Source organism: Homo sapiens, chromosome 20 (genome assembly GCF_000001405.40).
Source record: "Homo sapiens chromosome 20, GRCh38.p14 Primary Assembly".
NCBI classification, from domain to species: domain Eukaryota; kingdom Metazoa; phylum Chordata; class Mammalia; order Primates; family Hominidae; genus Homo; species Homo sapiens.
In genome coordinates this window covers 4,579,820-4,591,663 of record NC_000020.11, presented here as the reverse complement: position 1 = coordinate 4,591,663, position 11,844 = coordinate 4,579,820, and the positions used below count along the sequence as shown (strand labels likewise).

General features: G+C 42.3%; 1 pseudogene; it reads left to right on the top strand.

Moving 5' to 3' along the window:
* On the top strand, window positions 357-729 carry RPL7AP12 (ribosomal protein L7a pseudogene 12; annotated as a pseudogene).

The following is an 11,844-nucleotide window of genomic DNA, read 5'->3' as shown; positions in this document are numbered from 1 at the left end:
GCAACTTGTTTACACCACGGAGGCCTTCATTTCTGAATGTGTGAAACGGTGAAGTTCTGCGGTGTGCAGTGTAAAATGGGGCGGGTGTGTGTGTGCAAAAGCAACAACCCAGGTGTGCAGACCTGCCTCTGCCAGAGTGACCCTTCCCCTAACAGCATCTAACCCAAGAATGGGAGAATTGCTTGCTATGGAGAAATCTAAATATCACACATCAAACCCATAGGAAACATTAGAAAATATATAGTCATCTGCCTTGAAGGGCAGATACGTGAACTTTTTAACCCAGAGCAGTTGCTACCCAGCTAGCTTTGAAATTTACTGCTTTTGGTCAAAATATGCTCTTCAGCTAGTGCTTTCTTCTAGCTGGTTGTCTTCCTGCCTGCCCTGTGTCATAAAAAATGGGGGGCCCTTACTGCTTTATCAAGGGGAAGTCAAGACTGGGACTTCTAGTCCACAAGAAGAGAGGCACCACTGCTGCCTTCGCACAGGTTAACTTGGAAGACAAAGGAGCTTTGGCTAAGCTGGTGGAAACTATCAGGACCAATTACAGCGACAGATACGATGAGATCTGCTGTCACTGGGGAGGTAATGTCCTGGGTCCCAAGTCTGTGGCTCGCATCACCAAGCTAAAAAAGGCGAAGGCTAAAGAACTTGCGACTAAACTGGGTTAAATGTACGCTGTTGAGTTTTCTGTACATAAAAATAATTAAAATAATAGAAATTTTCCTTAAAAAAAGAAAATATATGGTCATCTCAATAAATCCTGAGCATAATCAATTACAACTCAGTCATCATTACTGAGAGGAAACTCATTGTAAACCAGGAGCAGAGGACCACTGCCTAGGACCATCAATGTACTTATACTGACTATTATAACAGCATTCTACTATAATCACAGTGAATGCCATTCCTGACATTTAAACAATAAAGGCATTGCTTTAGTCCCTTCGGGCTGCGATAATGAAATACCATCAACTGGGTAGCTTGTAAACAACAGAAATTTATTTCTTTCAGTTCTGAAGCCTGCAAAGTCCAAGATCAAGGCACTGGCAGATTCGGTGTCTGACAAGGAAGTCTCCTCCTTCCCCATGGATGGTACCTTCTTGCTGTGTCCTCTCATGTGGCAGGGGATAGCCGGCTCTCTGGGGTCTCTTTTATAAGAGCACTTATCCCAATCATGAGGGCTCCTCATGACCTAAGTATCTCCCAAAGGCCCCATCTCCTAATACTATCACCTTGGGGGTTAGGATTTCAACATTTAGATCACAGCAGGCATTCTCACTAAAACAAAAACCAGAAGGCAGAGTACTCTTTTAATTTGAAAATTTGGGAGTTCTGGTCATTTTAATAAGAAATGTTAGGAATAATATTTTTTAACACTTGGAAAAGAAGAGGATTTTTTAAAAAACACTGTCATTATTTGAAGATGTTATAATTTAACACAAGAAACGAAAAAAATCAATTGCAAATGCCGTGTTAAAAATGAGATTGTAAATTAGGTGGTTGGATACAAAAGCAATATCTTAGAAAAGTGTTTTTCTATGTGCCAACAATTATAACCTGGAAAGTAGAAAGGAAAATCTTCATTTGTAACAATAACAAAGTATGAAAAGCCTAAGCAAAAATGTAACCAAAAATGAGTAGGAACTCCAATTCTTTTTTAATGAAAAGTTTCACTGAGAAACTAGCTTGAAAAAAAAAACTTTAATAAGTACAACATCAAATTATGGTCCTGGTTAGGAAACCGCAAAAAATAACATTCTACAAATTCTTTTATATATCATTTGTAATTTTAAAATAGTTTTAATGAAAAGTCTTAATGGGACTTTCATGGGAAATCAGTGAAATAATTCTAAATTTCTCTTGTGTTACCCTGGAAGAAAAAAATAAGTAAGAACATTTTATTTAAAATGAGGGCAAACTTATACCAGATTAAAACATATCACAAAGCTGTACTAAATAGAACAGTATGAATCTGGACTAGGGGCTGATGGAAAAGTGGTAGAGAAAACATAACTCCAGGAATAATGTTAATATTAATTAATTGACTCATATGAAATTGATAATATAGTTTTGAGCCATGAAGACATCAATTTGATGGAGTTCAACCTAATATATAATGCAAGGATTATTTCACGTAGTTCATAATAGGTACTTTTTTTTTTTTTTTTGAGATGGAGTCTCACTTTGTTGCCCAGGCTCGAGTGCAATGGTGTGATCTCGGCCCACTGCAACTTCTGCCTCCCAGGTTCAAGTGATTCTCTTGCCTCAGCCTCCTGAGTAGCTGGGATTAAAGACATGCACAACCATGCCCGGCTAATTTTTGTATTTTTAGTAGAGATGAGGTTTCACCATGTTGGCCAGGCTGGTCTCGAATTCCTGACCTCAAGTGATCTGCCCACCTCAGCCTCCCAAAGTGCAGGGATTACAGGTGTGAGCCACTGCACCTGTCCCATCATAGCATTTTTAAGAAAAAATTGGAAAATGTTAATGTCTAATGGGGAGATGATTAAATATGTTTGGTTGCATTTTTATGTGACATATATGCAGTCATTAGAAACAGTTTTTTTTTTTTTTTTGAGATGGAGTCTCGTTCTGTCGCCCAGGCTGGAGTGCAGTGGCACTATCTGGGCTCACTGCGAGCTCCTCCTCCTGGGTTCATGCCATTCTCCTGCCTCAGCCTCCCAAGTAGCTGGGACTACAGGCGCCCGCCCAGCTAATTGTTTTTTTGTATTTTTAGTAGAGACGGGGTTTCACTGTGTTAGCCAGGATGGTCTTGATCTCCTGAACTCGTGATCCACCCGCCTTGGCCTCCCAAAGTGCTGGGATTACAGGTGTGAGCCACTGCACCCGGCCTACAGTTTTTAAATAGAATTCAACACTACAGAAAAAATACGACATTAATGAGAAGAAAACAGCATTTTGAATGGCATATGTCTTGTGATTCCAGTTTTTGGCAATATATTACATATAAAATTATTGAGTATATATTATCTCAGAAAATCCATCTCTTCTCCATTTATTTATGATGCTTCTCTTATGCATGGGAAAAGGCTGGAAAATCGCTATGTATATGCATATATGTCAATACATAAGTATATGCATATATGCAAATTCATGTTTGAATATTAAAATAAGAGCACGGATCCAAATGTGGATGATTACATATTAGGTAGTCTCAGCATGGGTCACTTTGGAGGGCTGTGATATGAGGGAAGTGGGAGCAGGAAAGGAGAGGGAGAAGAAAAGAAAAAAAGACTGAATTAACAAATTCCACAAAACTCCGTATTCTGTAGTTCCTTCACTCCTCCTGGGGGTGCAGAGGGGTGGGGTGAGATGTTCTGGTGCCCTCTGGCTCTACTCCCCTCTTTAAGGGGCTTGAGGGGCAGTGGGGAGAGGGCAAGGCATCTAATCATCAGGGGTCTCAGCCTCCTTTGGACCACAGACCCCTTTGACAATCTGGTGAAGCTTATGAAACCTTTTCAGAATTTTACCTTTAAAAAATAAAACATTTAGAACTGCAAAGGAAATCAATTACACTGAAAAACAGTTCTCAAAATACTTTTACAAAAACCAAATTGATGGGCAGGGCGTGGTGGCTCACGCCTGTAATCTTAGCACTTTGGGAGGCCAAGGCGGGCAGATCACTTGAGGCTAGGAGTTCAAGACCAACCTGGCCAACATAATGAAACCCCACCTCTACTAAAAATACAAAAATGAGCCGGGAGTGGTGGCTCACACCTGTAATCCTAGCTACTCGGGAGGCTGAGGTGAGTGGGAGAATCGCTTGAACCCGGGAGGTGGAGGTTGCAGTGAGCCAAACTTGCGCCATTGCACTCCAGCCTGGGCAACGGAGCAAGACCCTGTCTCAAAAAAAATTGATGACATAATAATAAATGTTCATGTTTATTTAAGTACTAAATAACCAGATCTAGCAGCCAGGTGGCTGTGATTTTTAAGTCCCATCTGAATGGAGGTGGCATTCTGAGGTATCTGCGCCAGCTGTCATGTGACTTGAAACTCCGGGATTTCTTTTAGTTATAGCCATGAATTCTGCCATCACTCCTGTGGCTTGTTGCTTCCATCGTCAAATGAAGGAAATGCCCAATTTCAGTTACAGAAAAGTGAAAACAAAAGGGTATAGTTTTTCCATCCATGTTTACCCAAATTCTATCCCTGGGTCCCAGATGAAGCATCTCTAACTGTTGTGACCCCTGAATTCCGGTGTCCTATTCTGGCTCCTCCAGGGCACTAGGAGACTGAGCCTTTTTCTGCTTTTGTTTTCCTGCCTGCAGGAAGCCATGCAGCAAGTTGTGTCCCTGACTCCTGGAGAAAGAAACAGCCGCATAATGTGGATTTGCTGTGCTGCGGTCCATGCCTTCCTTGGCCTTCTCTGGCCTGACAAGAATGGGAGAAGCATCAGGACGCTGTAGAATGCTGGAAGGTCTGAGACACGGACCTGGATGGACACATTTGTCCAAAACCTGAATTCCTTCTTACCACCCCAGTACACAGTCAGATCCTCCCTCAGGGCGGTTGTAGCTGCAGCCCACTCCAGGCCTGTTCAGTTGGTGCTTCTGGTTCCTTCCATTCCCAGGCCATCATGACATGGGAGTGGGAGGTGCCCTTTGCAGATAGCCAACTGCCGATTCCATGTTTTTTCTTCACTGTCCTGTTTTGTCCCCAGTTCTCAGAGGCCTGTTTTTCTTATGTAGCTTTTTAACTCAAGTCTGCATTTTACTAAAAGACTATGAAACCTACTTATAATTTTATTTTACCCCATCACTTTTTATGATTCAATAGGAATAATCCTATTTTGTTCCCTCTTTTCAGAGGCCTATATTTCTTACATACATTTTTAACTCAAGTCTGAATTTTACTAAGAGACTATGAAGTCCACTTATAATTTTATTTTATCCCATCACTTTTTATAACTCAATAGGAATTATCCTTTTAAAGGAACCCCAGGGATTCTCTGACACCTGTCACTAGAGTAGAGATAAAACATGTTTAATGGCTATGGGACCAGCTGCTATATCTCTTCTATCTTCATTAAGGACTCTACTTTTCTTCAATATAAAATGAATCTCTTTGTTCCCTTTTAATGCCTTGAATTCTATGTAGTCTGAAACTAATTTTGTTATTCTTGCCATTTTGCGTTTGCCTGATAAATCTTGACTTTTTTTAAATATTTATTTTTAACTTTTCAAAGTTAAAAATGGGTTTTGTTTTAGTTTGTCTCTTGACAGCACCATATAATTCGAGTTTCTATTTTAACCTAATAATTTCAGAGTCCTTCTTTAAAAACATTTTTATTGTTTTTTTCTTGTAACAGGAATGTAAGTTCACTATTGAGAAAACAGATAAGCAGAGAGAAGAAGAAAAAAGAATCTTTCTCTTTGATTTTGTTAACATCCCTGCAACTTTCCAATACACTCATTTTCTTTCTGAATTATGAAGATTCCATTCTTGCTGCTTGCCATGGAGGGCCTCACAAACATGATCTCTTGGGCTCTAAGGTGTGGTAAGAAGTGCCTCAGAAAGCCAGGGAGGGGCAGTTTGGACCAGATCTGTTCTTGGTTCAAAGAGGAACTTCTGTCTTCACTTCGACACTCATTTCCCTGTGTTCATCTTTTCCAGCCAGCTTCCTTCTCTTCTCTTCTTTTTTCTCTTTTCTTTTCTCTCTCTCCTTCCTTCCTTCCTTCCTTCCTTCCTTCCTTCCTTCCTTCCTTCTCCACTTCTTCTTTTAACATGGGATCTTGCTCTGTCACCCAGGCTGGAGTGCAGTCATGCCATCATAGTTCACTGCAGCCTCGAGCTCCCAGGCTCGAGCAATCCCCCTGCCTCGGCTTCCAGCTTCTTTCTTGTCATAGGATTGGAAAGATCATCACGTTCAAGATTAGGGTGAGAATCTAGGGAAATGGATCAATTAGGCAACTGTGGTGATCTTAAAGTATGCCCCCAAATTCTTTGACAATCTTCCCTTCAAAAGGCGTAAACTAATTATCTTTCCCTTGAAAGTGAGCTTGTTTTAGTGACTGGCCTCTAACTATGGAATGTGATGGAAATGCTGCTATGTGACTCCTGTGGCTAGGTCATCAAAAGGATAGTTTCAACCTAGCTCTCTCTCATCACTCATTCGGAGGTAAGCCAGCTGCCATGTCGTAAGGGCACTCAAGTATCCCTGGGAGGAGTCCACATAGAGAGGGGCTGAGGCTCTCCAGCAAGAGTCAGCACCAACTTGCCATCCAGTGAGTGAGCCACCTTGGAAATGGACCCTCCAGTTGAGCCTTCAGATGAGTCAGCCCCAGCTGAAATCTGATGTAACCTCATAAAATACCCTGAGACAGAACCACCCATCTAAGTTGCTTCAGAATTCTGAGTCACAGAAACTGTGAAAATAATAAAGCTTACTGTTGTTTTAAGCCACTAAGTTTGCAGTAATATGTTACTCAGAACTAAATAACTACTACAACAACCACTATGCCTTTAGTGTGTGTGTTTGAGTAAAGAAACAAGATGAGTTCCTGTGGCTGCTATGATCTAGCCTAATTTACAAGGGCTGGGGACTCCACAATGGAATTTGGGACTAGGGTGTCTTGGTAACAAACCAGGCTCATTTTCCTTGAGTGTCCATCAACCTAGATCTCTTGTGGATCTTGGGTGGCCCCTTCGCTGGTTGAAAGTACAAGAAACCATAGTCCCAGCTGTCTCATGGCTTCCCATAAGAAACATCACCAACCTCTGATATGTCTTACATTGGAGGCTTCTCTGTAGCCCCACTGCCACCTGGTCAAGGACTTATCTTAGGTTGGGATCTCCTATAAGCAAACCCTGAGATAAGAATCTGAGTATAAGTAGTTTATTTGGGAGATGATCTTAGAAGTTTCTGGTGGGGGAGTGGGGAAGTGAGACAGGGAAGGGAAGGCAGCCCTACAGGATGACTAAGGAGCAGATTAGTGGGCAGCTGAGGCTCAGTCATGCTGGGAACTTGGTGGTGCCCACCTGAGAGATGAGGAACCTGGAGTATTTATCATCTCTGCCCCTCTCTTGTTGAGGGTCATGCCTGGGGCTATTAACTCCTTAAGACTTCTGGTCTGCCCCGCACATAACCCTAGCATGGTTCAACAGTCAGAGAAAGCCCTCAGACAGTGAGATGCCCTGGGTATATACAGCAACAGTGAGAGCCGGTGGGCATGAGCAGGTTACTGACCACATCTGCTACAGAGCTCCATCCTATATCTGAATGATTGCAGCAGCCTCTCAACTGGTCTACTCCTCTTTGTTTTTTAACTTGGACCCTCTGATCTCTTGTCTACATAGAAACCCAGAGTGCAAATCTGATCAAATCACTAATTTCTTTTTTTGAATTAAATTAAAATTTTTTGGCCAGGCATGGTGGCTCACGCCTGTAATCCCAGCACTTTGAGAGGCCAAGGCAGGTGGATCTCTTGAGGTCAGGAGTTTGAGACCAGCCCGGCCAACATGGTGAAACTTCATCTCTAGTAAAAATACAAAAATCAGCTGGGCATGGCAGCGGGCACCTGTAATCCCAGCTACTCGGGAGGCTGAGGCAGGAGAATCTCTTGAACCCGTTAGGTGGAGGTTGCAGTGAGCCAAGATCAGGCTGCTGCACTCCAGCCTGGGCAACAGAGCCAGACTCTGTCTCAAAAAAAAAAAATTAACTTTTATTTTAAGGTAAGGAGTACAAATGCAGGTTTGTTACATAGGTAAACTTGTGTCATGGGGTTGTTTTGTACAGATTATCTCATCCCACAGGTATTAAGCCCTAGTACCCATTACTGATTTTTCTTGATCTTCTTCCTCCTTCTACCCTCCACCCACCGCCCTCCGATAGGCCCCAGTGTGTGTTGTTTCCCTCTATGTCTCCATGTGTTCCCATCATTTAGCTCCCAAACTTATAAGGGAGAACATGCAATATTTGATTTTCTGTTCCTGTATTAGTTTGCTAAGGATGATGGCCATATTTCTTAACACACGACACATTTCCCTGTTCCCTAAGGATGGAGTCCACATTCTTCACTAGCACCACACCTGTCATATCGAAACCATTTGGTGAACATTAACTTTTGTATCATTATTGTCATTGTTATTGTCATCATCGGCATCATCACCGTCATCATCATCACAGAGCATTAGGTGGAATACTCGTATCTCTGACTGGGAGGATCTCCTATTTCATGTTCTATCCACCCAGAACACACTTTCGTGAAGCCAGCAGCAGGTTTTCAGATATTTCATGCATTCTACCTTTATGACTGAATCATTACCTCTCTGAATGTCAGACTGTGTCTATTACTTCTTGTTTTTCCACCCTGCCTAGCCTAAGGATGGAAGCTTTAAGGGAACTTCATCATTTTTGGTTGAGATGTTCAATTAATTACCATCCCTTCCCATCTGATTCATAGTCAAGCCATCACCAAGTTCCATCAACCTCTTCCATCTCTTAAATCTGTCCACTTTTCCCCATCTCTAAGCAACCACCCAGCTCAGCTCCTTCATCTCTTGCCTGGATCACTGTGCTAGCTCCGTAATCATCATCCCTACATCCAGCATCACTTCTTCCCAATAGGTTCTCCACAAAGCAGCAGAAGTGACCTTTGAAAACCAACCCTAATCACATCAATTCACTTGTCTAAATGCCTCAGAGGTTTCTCATTGCTCTTAGAACAAAGCCTTAGTCATGTTCCTGCGCCAATGCCTACATGGATTGGCCTTTCTCCACCTCCCCTCCCACCTACCTTCCCTTCTGTGTTTGGATGCATGTGACACTGACTTTCTTACAGTCTCTCAAATGTTCCAGCATCCTTTCTAACCCAAAGGTTTTGAAAATACTGATTTCCCCATCTGGAATGTCCTCCTCATCCCTCTACTGCCAGTGCGTATCATCTTATTATCCAAATATCTGTTTCAATATTCTTTTCTTTTCTTTTTGTTTGGAGACAGAGTCTCGCTCTGTCCCCCAGGCTGGAGTTCAGTGGCACGATCTTGGCTCACTGCAACCTCCGCCTCCTGAGTTCAAGCGATTCTCATGCCTTAGCCTCCCGAGTAGCTGGGATTACAGGTGCCCACCACCACACCCTGCTAATTTTCATATTTTTAGTAGAGATGGGGTTTCACCATGGTGGCCAGGTGCATCTTGAACTCCTGACTTCAGGTGATCTGCCCGCCTCGGCCTCCCAAAGTGCTGGAATTACAGGCGTGAGCCACTGCACCTGGCCTCAATGTTATTTTCTTGGAGAATCCTTCACTGATTCCCCAGACAAGATCAAGTCCATTGCAGAAGCTATCTTAACACCTCATAATTTTCCTTAAAAACACTTGCTATTTGTAACTAAATTTTAGACTGTGGTTCCCCAGAAGCAGAGCTTAGATAGTTTGGGGGAGTGATCCCAGGGAACAGGAGGTGGAGACTGGAAAGACTGAGACATGACAGGAGGGAAAGTCAATCGAAAGTGTGTTAATGAGTTGGTCACTGCAGTAGGCTTGTCCTGCTAAGGACTCTCCAAAGAGCCATGTAGAATGAACCTCAAAAATGTCCACCTGCGGGACAAAAGAAAGGAGCATTTACATTGGCTCCTGTACCCTATCGGTGAAGTAGGGTACTAACTTCCACATTCTTCAGGTTGACATATGCATCAGAATGGGTGAATGGATTCCTGTTCTTTCACTGTAACTGCTCCAGAGAAACGCTGGAGCAGAAGACAAGCGGTGCTTGATATATTAATAGCTGAGGCAAGGTGCTGTCATCCCACCTGTGTGCAGTTGGTTGCTGCAGCAATAGCTGATGAAATGAATTGGCAGAGAGGATGTGAGAGAGTAGGTCTTGGGAGGTGTATTTGTTTTTGTGAGTATTGAATAATGAATAAAGATGAAAGCTTCTTGAGGGAGAGATCAGGCTTTTTTGCTCACTATCTTCAATACCAAGCACATAGCAGGTGTTCAATAAACATTTGTTAATGAATGATCTATTGATTAGGTCTTGGTACATTCAAAGCAAACTAGGAAATAAGTAGTGCTAAAGACTTCCAAGTTCCATTTAAATCAGGCTCCTGTTTTCATGTAGAGTCTGTGTCTAGGGCGTCAGGAATTGTTACAGCAGCTGGTGGCCTTGCTGAGCAGTTAGTACAAATGTCTTAAAGTTCCATGGAGGAGCAAGGACTGTGGACTCTTCCAGGAAAAGTGCCTGGTTCTATGCAATGAGAACCACATCGAAGAAATAGACTGTGATTACAAGATAAAAAGATAAACTTTGAAGTGAGATAAGGAAGAATTATTAGGAAACTAAACACACAACTGCAGATTTAAACCCCACTTCAGAGGCAGCATGACGCCTAAATAATACAGCTTAAAGCCAAATTAGTGATATGGACCACAAGCTTGAAAATGTGGAGGAAAATGACAAGCAAAGGGGGCAGCTGTGAAAGAGTAAGATACATACAGAAATGGAGACGTGACAGTGGGAAGAGCATTCCTATGCACTAATATTTCTGTTCTATTAAGGAGATAATGGATTCATTTTTCCTGATGTGAAGAAAGATATATTTCATGCAGATTGGAATCATTCAATAAGGGACCTATAACTAAATGTAGATTGTAAACAATTTTGAATTTTTTTTTTTTTGAGACGGAGTCTCGCTCTGTCACCCAGGCTAGAGTGCAGTGGCACGATCTCGGCTCACTGCAAGCTCTACCTCCTGGGTTTATGCTACTCTCCTGCCTCAGCCTCCTGAGTAGCTAGGACTACAGGCGCCCACCACCACGCCCAGCTAATTTTTTGTATTTTTGGTAAAGATGGGGTTTCACCATGTTAGCCAGGATGGTCTCGAGCTTTTGACCTCATGATCCACCTGTCTCAGCCTCCCAAAGTGCTGGGATTACAGGCATGAGCCACCGCATCCGGCCAACAATTTTGAATTTTTAGGATAAAGGAAAAATAAATACCCCAATAGGCCACTCACTCCCAAATTTAAAAAGTTGTCTTTAAGGGAAGAAAAACATCAAGCTGATCTAAATTTTCACTGTCAACTCTAAATGTCAGAAATAAATGATGTAATTTGGGCCTGGTGTGGTGGCTAAAGCCTGCAATCCCAGCACTTTGGGAGGCCAAGGAGGGTGGATCTCTTCAGGCCAGGAGTTCGAGACCAGCCTGCCCAACATGGTGAAACCTTGTCTCTACTAAAAATACAAAAATTAGCCGGGTATGGTGGTGTGCACCTATAATGCCAGCTACTACTCGGGAGGCTGAGGCATAAGAATCCCTTGAACCCAGGAGGTAGAGGTTGCAGTGAGCTGAGATTGCACCACTGCACTCCACCCTGGGCAACAGAGCCAGACTCTGTCTCAAAAAAGAAAGAAAAGAGGGAAGGAAGGAAGGAAAGAAGGAAGGAAGGAAGGCAGGCAGGCAGACAGGAAGGAAGGAGGGAAGGAAAGAAGGAAGGAAGGAAGGTAGGTCATGTGTATTTTATGAATGAAAATAACGCAAAATACTTCCTAAATTTCAGGGATTCAAAGATGCAGAATCAATGTGTCTATCTAAAGATGTGTTCTTATTGGCAGAAAAGCACAAAATAAAGAGCTAAAATTGGGGTAATCATAGCAAAGAAAAAGACTGAAACTGTTAAAAAATAGTTAAAATAGAGATGTCAAGCAATTATGGTATGTTTGATTATAAAGCTAAATGCAAATATAAAAAACCATTCTCTAAAAGGTATATAACATGAAAATAACCATGTCATAACAGTCATTTGCTTTTAAAACCCAGATTATATTAACAAAGATGGGAGGAAGACAAGCAAAAGTGTGGCTAAATTGGTGGTTTCA